The following is a 13,161-nucleotide window of genomic DNA, read 5'->3' as shown; positions in this document are numbered from 1 at the left end:
AGGAATTGGCTTCAGAGATTTGGCCTAAGGCACAGCTCCCTGAAGGCTGCCAGGATACAGGCTAGTAACACTTCCAGGCATTTCTCTAGGAAACATCTAACAGCTTCTGCCTTCCTCTTAATTTAACAGACTGCTAGCTCAAAATAGGCACTGAAAAAGCTGTTTAATTAATTTGTTTCATGCCTGTTTAGTAGAAGACATTAAACAGACACTTTCTAAAAGAAGAAAGCTACTGTCCTTTCTTGGGTCTTATCTTTCAACATGTTCAGACCCAGTATTTGTTTTGGAACTGAGTAACAGTTCATTGGGAATCTTTCTCATTGCCACTTGGCTGCGGGGGGCCTATGTATACAACCTCTGGAATGAGTCCTCTTGTCTTTGAACTTCAGTCAACACACTTTTGATTCTGAAAAATCATTTGTTTACTCAGTGAATCATGTTAGGCCCTTACTATGTGTAAGGACTTGTGCTGCACCCTGGAAATACTGTAGGGAATAACAGAGCATTCTGATTCCTAAAGGAGCTTCTGTTGTAATGTGGGAATGCTCATTAAGTGATTAACAAATAAGCAATAAAGATCAGGTAAACTGCAGCTCAGCACAGGATGCTCACATGAGAGGGGTGCAGGATCTGGCTAAGTCTGAAGCAGGTTTGCTGGCTTCCTCAGCTGGAGTGTGGCAAAAGATATTCAAGAGCTGTGAAGGTCGTGGAGAGGCTGGCAGAGGGCAGTGGATGGAGGAGGAAGGAGGAGACACAACCATACACACTAGAGGAGGAAAGGGTTTGTTTGGCTCAAGCTCCCTGAGGGTCTGACCACAGCTTCTCTCCTTCTAGATCTTTGTAGATTCCCATTACCTTCCAAGTCGAAACCCTCATCTACTCTTCCTGGCTCACAGAATGCAGACGTGTACTTTTTACATTTGCTGTACTGGCAAGGAGGAGCAGGCACTACAGAAACCGTCTGCCTCATTGCATGGATTTCCTCAAGTTCTGTTCTCATTCTCTAACCCTGGAGACTGAAAATGAGGCTGTGTTTCCAGAATTTTCACATAGAATTGTTACAACTGTTACAGCTTTTTCCCCTTGGAAAAAAGTTAGGGTTCACGCATAAAAAATGATTCTGTTGAAAGCCAGGGTTCCAGGTAACTTTAGAGAGATCATAATATTCTGGCAGGAAGTATCTCAGTTTCAGTTGCTGGTCAAACACTATCTTAAGGAGAAGGGTCCTGGAGAGCTGTTTCTGCTCTGATGAACAGCACCAGGGCCTGAGAAGGAGGCTTGGCTGCACGTAGGGCTATTGCGGCTGATGTTAAAGGACCGGCGTTTGAGCTGTGATCCAGCAGGAGCCTTGGGCCCCAGCCCACATGAGTAGAGGGCAGCTTGGAGGGCTGAGTGCTGAGCAGCATTTCTATCAGGGGACCTCAAGCCACAACATGAAGTCACTGCAGGCAGAGAAACCAACGATCCGCTCCCTAGTCAACGCAAGCCAGGTCCGGGGAGCCACCAGGATCACCCCACACCGAGGAAAAGAAAAGAGTACCCAGGCTGTGAAAGTCTCCTTCTGGCTACCAGGGGCAAGACAACTGGCGGGCAAGAGTCCGGGGAGCTTGTGCCCCTTCCTTTTCTGTTCCTGACACTCAAACAGCAGTCTTTCTTTTTTTGTGAAGAGTGTGGCATACCAGACACTTACTCAGCTGTGGCCTGGATGGCCTGGAACAGACTGAAACTGGCTGCTGGAAGTCACTCCTGCTGCTCCAAAGGCCATGGGCAGCAGCCCTGGCCCCAGCTCCTCCACAGACACTTGGCATCCCTGTGCCATGAGGCAGCTTCACTGCCTGAAGAGGTCCTCAGCATCTCCCCAGTACCTGCGCATCAGCCCCGAACACCGAGTGTGAGTTCTCAGGGAGGTCGCCCGCTGAGAGGGATAATAGTGTTGGACAATGACCTTGCTGGGTACAAAAACCCTGAGCAGACTGCACGAGTCTTCTCTGCAGGGCTCGGTTTAGAAGTCAGTTGTGCATCTTGGAGTGTCTTCTCAAAGCCTAGTTTTTGTTCTTCCTCAAATGATCTGCTTTTTATAGTACTGGTGAAGGGGGCGGGGTACTACGAGGCTCTGGAAGGGGCATGAATTAAAGAGGTTACTAGGACTCTCATGCTGGGGCCAGAACATGGTTCTCATATACTTCCTTGTCATCACGGCTCCTCCTCCCTGTCCTCATAATGACATTTAACTAGTATTTATTTACTCCTATCATTTGCCAAATGCTGTGTCAGGATGAGGAGTACAAGGACCTTCCAAACCAGGGAAGGAGACAGATTCAACAATGCCAATGACTAAACCTGAACACGGCTTTAAAATTGCAAAGGAAACGTCACATATAGTATCTGCTTTGAGAATCCCCAAAATGCTGTTGGGTAGGTATTCTTACCTTCCCACTTACAGATACGGAAATGGTCCAGGGTGGTTACAGGACTTGCTCAGCAACTCCAGACTCAATTCATTCCTAACACTCAATTCATTCCTACACACAAAAATTATTAATAATCATCCCATGGGCATAGTAACTGGATATGATTAATCTAATATATAATAAAGCCATAATAATGACATATTACAACCTAATAATAATTAGGTATTATAATCATAAATAGATATTATTGTTTAATGAGAGCTATGAATTCTGTTGCAGAAGTCATCCTAAGACTTTAGCTTCCCTTCTGTTCTCAAATCATACCATGTTTTCGGATGTTAATAGGCATCCTCTAGGTTATGAAAGTGTTTACCTCATTATTCATCTCTGTACTACCTAAAGTACCTGGGATTCTTTCTACATGGACCGTGGAATAATTCCTATAAAATTTTAAGTAACAATACATGAGCAAATATCCTAAATTTCAGTTTTGTCTTCTAAAGCGTAATGTCTACCATTTCAGTTATATGGAGGTTCTGATAATTTGAAGTAGTCCCATTCAACCCCATCACCAGCCCTTTAATGCATCTCTGCACTTACTGTCCAAAATCAAGGCATATAATTTTGCACGGGTAAAGCATGCTGCTGTTTTTAAAAAAAGATTCATGCAAGAATTTCAAGTATGCATGCCGTGAATGTTCATAATTATGTTTCAACACTAGTCACTTTGAAAGATTAGACTTTAATCTAAACAAGTATGTAAGTAAAGAACATCATTTGCTATGAAATTCATCTAGGGTCTTTCTGAAACTTTTAAAATTAGTAGAGGCTAAAGGATAGCTGTCTCGATAAGAGTCATACAAAAACTTCGAGGGTTATATCTTAAATGACATTCCTAGGGGGAAATTATCTTCTTAGAAAAATATCACCATATACGTCTCTCCTTCTATGCCATTTATTACGTTTTATCGCAAACCAGCTACTTTCTAGCTGGTAACCTTTTGTAAACTACTTAACTTTTCTATGCTTCAATTTTCTCATCTGGAACATTTGGAGGAGGATGTTGTGTGGATTAAATGAGTTAATGTACACATAAAGCATTTAGGGAGTGCCTAGCACTTAGTAAACATCATCTAAATTCTCCCCACTTGGATGATGGCAAAATTAAAACATCCAGGCCAAGGGATAGATGATACTAGAAAAACTGACACTCTCCCTGAAAAAGATGTATATAGTATAAATACATGCCCTAAATACATGCCTCATGCCCTGAGCACAACCCAGATGAAAACTGTTATACTGTTAAGAATTTGTTAATAATATCTAGAAATTCTGGGACTTAACTAAGCGCAACTTTTTCCATGAGGCAATTTGGAATAACTTTTGAAATTAAAAAAAAAAAGTGTATACATTTACCCCTGTCCATTTCATTTTGGAAATATCATTCTAAGGAAATAGTTGGGATCACATGCCCCAAAAATGAAATAATTGATGATATGTACAAAAATATTAGAGAAAGGTGTTTACCATGGTATCCTTTTGATATGGTTTGGGTCTGTGTCTCCACCAAAATCTCATGTCAAATTGTAATTCCCAGTGTTGGAGGTGAGGCCTGATGGGAGGTGATTTGATCATGGGGGTGGAGTTCGCATGAATGGTTCAGTACCATCACCCTTGGTACTGTACAGTGAGTGAGTTCTCACAAGATCTGGTTGTTTAAAAATGTGTGGCACCTTCCCCATCTCTCTTCTTCCTGCACCAGCCATATAAGATGTGCCTGCTTCCCTTTGCCTTCTGCCATGATTGAAAGTTTCCTGAGGTTTCCCCAACCATCCTTCCTGTACAGCCCGCAGAACCATGAGCCAATTAAACCTCTTTTCTTTATAAACTACCCAATCTCAGGCATTTCTTTATAGCAATGCGAGCACAGACTAATACACCTTTATAAGGCAAAAACAAATTAACAATCTTACCATTTGACAATAACAAATTAGTTAAATAAATGATAGCATATAAATAAAATTAATAGAACATTGTAAAGTTATCAAAAAGTCCTATTATAGGAAAATATTTACCAAATGAAAATATAGCTGAATATTAGGTAAGTTATAAATCAATGTATACAGGTAGAGCATGAAGGTTCCAAAATGCTCCCAAATCAAAAACTTTTTGAGCACCAACATGATGCTCAATTGATATGCTTACTGCAACAGTTCAGATTTCGGGTTTTTAGATTAGGGATGCTCAAGCAGTATGTTCTCGGAAAATATTACAAAATCTGAAAAAATCTGAAATTCAAAACACTTCTTGTTTCAAGCATTTCAAATGATGTATGAGGACTCAGTTTTGTTAAAGTCTCTGTGTGTATAAACATATGCTGTATCTCTTTGAGTATACACATAGGAAAGGTCTGAGGCAAATGCTACAGCATCAATAGTTTTTATCTTTGCATGGCAAAGATAGTCAACCTGTCTGAATTGTTTAATTTTTCTACTATGTCATTACTAACACTGAATATAAATTGTTAATAAAAACTTGTATTTTTTTCCCACTTCCACCCAAGGAAAAGGTAAAAACTGGAGGGGGTAAATGTTTCATGAGCGGCCCCTCTAAAGTCTCGGTCTTAAGAGATTCTTATGCCCCGTGCTCTGGTCATCTGATCTGGCCTACTGCCTGCCTACATGGTGCAGCTCAGCTTTGTTAACCAGCTAGTAAGTAGCAGCCTCAGCAAACAGGATTTTGATGTGCTAACCATTCCCAGCCATCAGTCAAACCATTAGGCTAGGACCCAAAAGTTCAGCTCAGAATTGTCAGCCAATTTGCTGATTATTATTAGACATTAGGGAAAGCCTCTGTTGGCGCTGGTACAAGTCCTCATCGCTAAGGAAGGCCCAGATATTTCATTCCTTGGTTATTTGGACAATTCTCTCATTTTATGTAAGGATATTCTTATATACTTGGAAGATATGGCCAGATTCAAATGTCTGGAAAGCAGCCAATAAGTTTAAGTGATGGGGAAAATGGAAAATAATTTCTTTGGATATAAAGTTAGAAACATTAGCATGATTCAAGATTGACATGAACCTTGGCAAGTTTCTGAAATTTTATGGATTGTTACCACTATAGTGGGAATCGAGTTTAAAATAAGGTAAAGCAAAGCAATCATATTTCAGTGTGTCTGCCTATCCTGGCTATATTTTTACTTCCACAGTACAAAATATCTGTGAATCATAGCTCAGTATCATTAACAGATAATGGTTCAATGGGTTTGTCAGAAAGATATTTCCATTTATATATGTATATTTTAAAGGTAGTTTTATTATATCTAGAGACCAATTTTTTAAGTTCCACAATAGAAATTAATGTGCAAATGGAGTCTGTTTAACAGAAATCTGCCTTGAAGCAAACTGAGCTCTATTCCATCTGTACTATAAAGTATGTAATTACCTGTAAAGCTAAGACTTTTCTTCTGTTGAAAACGATCACCCCCAATTTCTTTTTAGAAATGTTACGCCATGCATAAACAGTGATGATTTTTCTGTATCTAGATTCCCTATATTTCTCCTGTTTCTAATTTACATACAATAATATATGCAGAGATGCTTTTCCATGGTCTTCTTTTATAGCAAAGAAACAATTTTTCATTATATAATTTTGCTAAAGGCAGCCTCAACAACCATGGGACCTTTTTCATTTCAGAAGTGTCAGTCTGCTGCAGCATTTACCACTGGATGATTTTAACAGAAAAAAAATGTATCGTGTCCTTCAAGAATGAGGAAAAGTTATTTGAAGAGAAAGAATCCTTTAAAAATATGAACATCAGAATAGTTTCTAAATAAAGAAGAAAATCTGTGTCACTTATTTAAGGTTCTTTCTCTTTCTTGGGTTAACAATGTATGCTTTATGGACCCAATAAAAAGAAGTTATTCCTCCAAACATTACTAGAAGAGTGTAAATCCCTGGTGATGTCTGAAAGCTGCTTTTGCAGATGTGGGTTCTCTCTATGTAGGGCACCTTTTCTAAGCACAGTATCAGTGACCTGGGAGAAGGAGCACATGGGAAAGATAAGTTTCACTGCTATATTACTTTTATCATGTGTATGCTATTAGCTCTGAAACTGGAAGTGGTGTGAAGGACATTAATTCACCTTCAGGAAACTTTCTTGGGTCTCTCTTGTACTTTATTTTCAAAGTCAGATTACAAGCTAATTTAAATTTCAAGTATTCGATTACATTCCTCTTGAATGACTGCTCATGATCTTTACCAAGTCTGTGCTCCCTTTCAGGAGAAGCTATTTTAATTCCACTGCAGGCAGGCCTTCTAATGAAGAGGAGAGTTTAAATTCCTCTTATAGGGGATAGCATATGATGAATGTTTTTTATCATAAAGTCTGAGTCAAGCCTACACAAGTGGTTTGCATACTCAATTATATAGAAGGCTTTTAAAGTAGCGCCACAGAAATATTCTGTAATAGGAAGAAATGGCACAAAGTATCCGACAGATGAGCAGAAAACCCTTCCAGGGGTCAAGAGAGCAGCAACAGGAACTGTCCACCTGATAGCTTGATGGTATTTTCAATGTTTTACAGACCAAAGAAGCTTTTATAATTTTAACCGTCTTCTCCCAAAGGGTAAGCATGATCTTCACATTTATTTCTATAGTCGTTGAATAGAAACAATTTGAACATGTGATATAAATCAATGCCAGGCTTTAGAAAGATGGTAGCTGGTGTTCTCTTATACTGAGAATATTATACTGTGTATGTTGGGGGAGGGGGTGCTCTCAGTTAATTTTATTTGCCCTTAATTGGTGCAGCTCATCCACACAGAACAGAGTGGATCCTGGCTTCTCTGGGTAAAGAAAGCAGAAAATCATACAGGCTTTGCTCTTCCATCAGTCATGGTGGGTCTCGCTGATGAGGACTAATGCTTGAGCTCTCATGCTTGAGAGGCCCTAGGTGACAGAGCCAGGGCCCTGCACTGGTGGGCAAGGGTTTCTTTCCTCAAATCCCAGCTTGGGATAGGTTGAGAGAAGGGGACAGAGAAGAAAGATCTTTTTGCATTTTGTAACTATCTCTTTCCTTAAAATTTCCTCATTTTCAGCAATGAAATTTACAGAGAATTTCTTCCCTGTCATTTTACTTTTTGCAAAATAATTTCCCGTTTCCCAAAATATACTGTATGCTATGTGCTGCTGGGGAAGATGTTAGGGAGCAAAAAAAATACTCCATTGGCAACCAAGAAAAATAATACGAAAGCACTGTTACTTAAAGTATTGGTCAGTCTCACTGGTCTTGGTTGTGTGAGATTAATTGGAATTTCAGTTCATCTATTTTCCTTTCTGATTTATTAGTTTTGGGCCACTCTGTAGTCTGTGCTCACTCATGCCTTCATACATATTTCTTTTCAGCATTATTCCCTGACCTAAATTGCAGTGAAATGAAATGTACTGCACCAAATTTTTCATATCTGAACAAACTGAAGTCATCCAACTGCATAACACATTCCACCTACAAAATTCAATGTCAGAATCATGCATTAGTGATGTTTCACATTTTGTGGAAATGTGAGCCACGGTGAGGAATCTAGATAGGTAGGTTGCCTGTGTTCCCACTGATAAGAAAGTATCCTCTTCCCCCAGAGGACAGCTCAATTGTTCCATAAAGACACTGTAATCCCAACATTTCAGTGTTAATAAGAACCAACATATCAATAAAAGACAAGAAACAGACTATAAATAGATCCACATATATAATACAATCAATTTTTAACAAAGGCACTAAGACAATACAATGAAAAATTTAAAGTATTTTCAATAAATGATCATGAAGGAATTGGATATATATTAAAAAAAATTAGTAAACGCTGACCCTTACCTCACACCAAAAATATCAATCTGAGGTAGATCACAAACCTAAAAGTTAAAAACTAAAACTATAGAGCATCTAGAGCAAACAGGAGACTATTTTTGCAAACTTAAAGTAGGTAAAAATGTTCTAGAGTTGCAAAAACATCAACTGTTTTGAAAGAATTAATAAACTGCTCTTTAACAAAAATTAAAATGTCTGCTCATCAAATAACACTTAAGAAAATAAAAAGGAAAAAACTAGACGAAAGAAAATATATCCAATACACATACTTGAAAAATGACTTTTAACCAGAAAAAAAAAAACTCCTACAAATCAATAACAAAAGAACAGCAATCCAACTTAAAAAGGGGGCAAAAGACTTGAACAGACACTTCACAAACACAAATGATCTGTAAGTATATGAAAAAGTACTCAGCATCAGTAGTTATAAGGGAAATGCAAATTAAAAACATAATGAGACACAATTCCATAGCCATCCAAATAACTAAAAAGAAAAAGACAATACTAAATGTTGGCAATGATGTGAAACAACTGGAACTCCCACACACTGCTAATGGGAAAGCTTCTTTGACCATTTCTTATAAAGTTACCCAAACCCTTACACTATGACCTAGCAATTCCAATCATGGGCATGACCCAAGATCTATAAAAACGTATGTCCACAAAAAGACTTATTCAACAATATTTACAGCAACTTTATTCAAACTGTACAATTGGAAACAATTCAAATATCCATTCACAGAAGAACAGATAAACAAATTATGGTATAGCCAGACAATGGATATTATTCACCAATAAAAGGCAGCAATCCTACTGATATAAGAGGAAGATGAATCTCAAAGACATCCTACTAAGTGACAGGAACCAATGCAAAGAGCACTAGTTACTATAGGATTCCATTTGCTTTAATACAACTAACTCACGATTATAGAATCAGAACAATGATTTCTTCTGGAGGTAGAAAGAGAAAACTGAAAAGTGGCAAGAGAGAATTTGCTGGGATGATGAAAATATTCCTTATGTTTATTAGCGTGATTACCTGAGTGTATATATTTGTTAGAATTTATCAAACTGTACACTTAAGATTGACAAATTTTACCTCAAAAAACCCTATTGTACAAAACATTACAAATATGGTATTACTATAAAGTTTTAAAAAAGGTTTTATTACTGATTTGATCATCCTAATAAAATTATTTTTATTTTAAATTCCACTGAACCTTTCAATGTCTTATTTAAATGTAGCATATCATGCATATCTAAAGAAAAAAATGACTCAATCTCTCATGCATTTATGACAGTTATAGTTTATGTATTTCAATGTCATATTGTGCCTTGATATTGAGATTATTTTATAAGGACCTGAGAATAATTCTTCCTATTCATATATAGGCCTTATTTTAAAGTTAATCACTGTTAACATTGACTTAAAACATCTTTCTTTATGTTTTCAACTAGTATTTTTGCCTCTTCAGCTTTTTTCTTACCAGTTTTTCTTTTACTTGTCCCACGTTTGTAATAAAGCCACTTTCTGGAGGAAATTAATATATACTTTATATGACTGTGGTATTCACAATTGTCTTTTTTTTTTTCCTTTTTGTCTCTGATATCGTTCTTAAACTCACAGCTAAGCATCTTGAGGTCAAAGAAGTCTTTAAAAATAATCTTGGGTTTGACTCTCTGTTCTGTTCCTTCCTCACTATATGACTTTAAGTTAAATAATTTCATTAAGATCCAGCTACTTCTTAAATAATAACAGCTGTCACTATAGCAATTTCATAGCTTCAAAAGAGGAGAGAAGGTGAAATCAATCCCCTTGCAACTAATAAGGGAGTGTATTGTCTGTAGAGAATGTAAAAAACAATAATAAAGCCACATGCAGACAATTCTAAAACATGTCAATGACAAAATAGCCTCTCCCCACGGCCCCAAGGGGCAAAATGGTCTCAGTGACACTACATAGGACAAGTCAAAGCAATGCAGGTTGGAGGCCACCCTTGTGGACTGCAGGAGGAAGCAAAGTAACACAAGCACCAGGTGAATCATTTAGCGACAGCCGAGGAATAGCTAACCTTTACTGAGCAACTTCCATGTGCCTGGTCCCATGCCAAAAGGCATTAATCATTTAATCCTTGCAAAATTCCATGAAGCAGATACTACTGTCACCATTTTACAGTTGAGCAAACTGATGGAGAGATAACTAACCTCCTCAGGACTACCAACCGGTAAGAGGTAGAATTGGGAGCATGCTGGCAGTGGACCCAAGAGGTGCCTTTGAACCATGAAGCCACATGACTATTTCTGAACTGCATGGCTTTCCTAGGGGCTTAAGATGGTGACAGAGAAAAGGGTGGAGGCTGAGAAAAGGGGAATTCTTGATTTAAAACAGTCTGTTTGAGAGATTTTGGATCCTTAAGGTTGGTTCACAGCAGTATAAAAAATAAGAAAACCTGAAAGCCATATTCTTTAGGAAAATAAATTACAGTCTAATTTCCCAATGTCTAGGAAATACAGAAGGGCAGCCTTACCAAAAATATTGTGCTCAGCTGCCTAAATGTGCCCTGTGTTTGTGCACACATGAGTGAGCAGGTCCATGTCTGACAATTCTCACTCTATCAACAAGCCCAGCACTTTTGTATCTGTGCCCATAGTGTGTGCTCGAGGGGCCCCAGCCAGGTCACCCTGGAGAGCTCGTCTGTCCGGTGCTCTCACCAAGGAGGGTAGTGACCAAGTGCAGGATCAGCAAAGAGGAGCAGAGCCCTCTAGGCAGCCCATGACCAGGGAGCCCAGCTGAGTGTGCTGTTGTGGCAGTGGACTCACCCCTCGGCCATGGTGTAAATAAATCAAGTGGTAATTACACTCTGCAGCACTTAATGCCATTCCTATGTTGCCCTCATTTATGAGGCCCTCATTATGCAACTATGTTGCAGCTCTAGACAGAAAGAAAGGCAGATCATTTCCACTAAAAACATAGGGCCTCCTCATTTTCGGCCTTGCGTCCCACCTGAGTCCCTGAGGCACAAGAAGTGACAGAGAGAACATGCACGCAGAGTTCCAGACCCTGTGACTACATCCTGCTGTTACAGCAGGGGTGGGATGGAAAATGCTGGGAAAGGGGACCCACCATTACCATACTGGAACACACACCAACAACCAAAAGCCTACAAAAAACTGAGCATCAGTTCAAATAAACTATGCATTAGTATGACAATTTAACCTACCAGAAAGAAACGCTGAAATTTTCACAGAAATGCATGCACACATGAACCTGAACAAACTAAGTTCTCATGTGATTTCCATCAAAGCAAATCCAACCTTCATGTTTGGCCATAAACATGTCATCTTGGGTAATTTATAAGGGAGCACTTAGCAGATACATGAATTATGCCTTCATGAAGATTTTAGTTTTAAATGTTATCAGGCTGTATGAAAATGCAACCTAATACTTAGTTTTATATAAAATGTCAGTGCTCTCTCTTAGTCTGACTTTATTATACAATTACATTATGCTTAAGTTAAATAGATTTTAACAACCTGAAGAAATTGAAATGGCACTAGAAAGCCAAATATTTAAATTACACTTATTTTAAACTATTGGCTATCTTCTAGATGGACTCATCCTGACGAAGTATAAAAGCTAAAAGTATCAATTATTCAAAAATTATTTAGTGACTGAAAAATTTAGTTTTTAAAAAAGTTATATATACTAAACTAGGGATTAGTGAACTTTTTCATAAAGAACCTGATAGTAAATACTTTATGCCTTGCAGGACAGTCTTATGACCTCTCAACTCCACCACTGTAGTGAAACCAGACATAGTCAACACATAAACAAATGATCACGGTTGTGTGCTAATAAAACTTTATTTACACAACAGACAGAGGGTTGGATTTGGCACACAGGCAATAGTTTGCCAACCCCTGATCTAGGCTAGACTAAAACATCAAGTGGAATCCCATCTCTAATAAATACTGGAAGCTGCAACTTCAGGGCATAAATACGAATCCCTTTGTCTCCAACTGTACAACTTTTGATACAGTCAATGTTTCTCTCCAGTTTCCGCAAATTGTTAACTTTTATCATGAAACATGAGATTTGAGGGTGTTTATCCTTTCTTGCATAGAGCACATGAACAGGTGTCAATGCTGATCATAGCTAGAAGTAGAGTGGGTCCCATGTGTAACTCCGGATGGCTAAAGAAAGTGTTCTACTTACAAGAGGATGCTTCATTTGACTAGGATTGGCTCTCAACAAGGCCCGTGCACCTTAGAAGAAAAAAGTCACTTCTGTCACATAAGAGCTCAACTGATTCACTCAACTTCAAAAGGGCACTGAGAATGCCATGCTTTGAAAAACATACAAAACAGTAAGAGGAGCAGAGAAAAGCTTGATGTGTTTTTCTCAAATGACACAAAACAATTTGTCTCCACAGGTTTAAGGAAAATCAATTAAAACATAATCTGTAGATCAGGAGTGGTAGCTACTTAAATACCAAAAAAGGAAAATAACCCCAAATAGAAAAGACAAAAAAAGACATATCAAGGTATGAGAAGAGTAGACCTATTCAAACCTATTCCAACACAGTCTGCTAAAACCAGATCCTCAGCACTGCACATCTGCTGGTCAGATCTGAGCAAATGACCATGGCAGGTCAAGTGGAGAGCTATTCTGGACTTTTAGCACTGAAAATCAGGGTGTACACAGTGAAACCACGCTGCTCTCTGACCCCACTGCTAACTCGCCGCAGTGACAAGGTAAGCTCCACTGGCTGCCCTGGGTTGATGTCCTCATTACAGTAGATAAACTACTGAAAACCCAAACTCTCAAAGGTTGCTGCTTGCAGTCCTTTTTGGAACCAGCAAGGGTAAGAATAACTATTT

The 13,161-nt window shown here is 38.6% G+C and overlaps 1 protein-coding gene across 4 annotated transcripts in view, besides 1 other annotated feature; it reads right to left on the bottom strand.

Annotated features, from left to right (window-relative positions):
- FAM110B (family with sequence similarity 110 member B) overlaps positions 1 to 13,161 on the bottom strand; it is a 154,262-nt gene that overhangs the window by 80,577 nt on the left and 60,524 nt on the right. The gene's annotated exons all lie outside the window — the stretch shown is intronic.
- Positions 1,597 to 2,098: an enhancer, noted in NCBI's record as "H3K4me1 hESC enhancer chr8:58978669-58979170 (GRCh37/hg19 assembly coordinates)". NCBI's record gives its function as "activates a minimal SCP1, AML or CMV promoter by ChIP-STARR-seq in primed H9 embryonic stem cells {active_cell/tissue: H9 hESC(primed)}" and the evidence as "EXISTENCE:reporter gene assay evidence [ECO:0000049][PMID:30033119]".

Source organism: Homo sapiens, chromosome 8, assembly GCF_000001405.40.
Source record: "Homo sapiens chromosome 8, GRCh38.p14 Primary Assembly".
Taxonomy (NCBI): domain Eukaryota; kingdom Metazoa; phylum Chordata; class Mammalia; order Primates; family Hominidae; genus Homo; species Homo sapiens.
The sequence above is the reverse complement of the archived record's forward strand: the minus strand, read 5'-3'. Positions and strand labels throughout refer to the sequence as shown.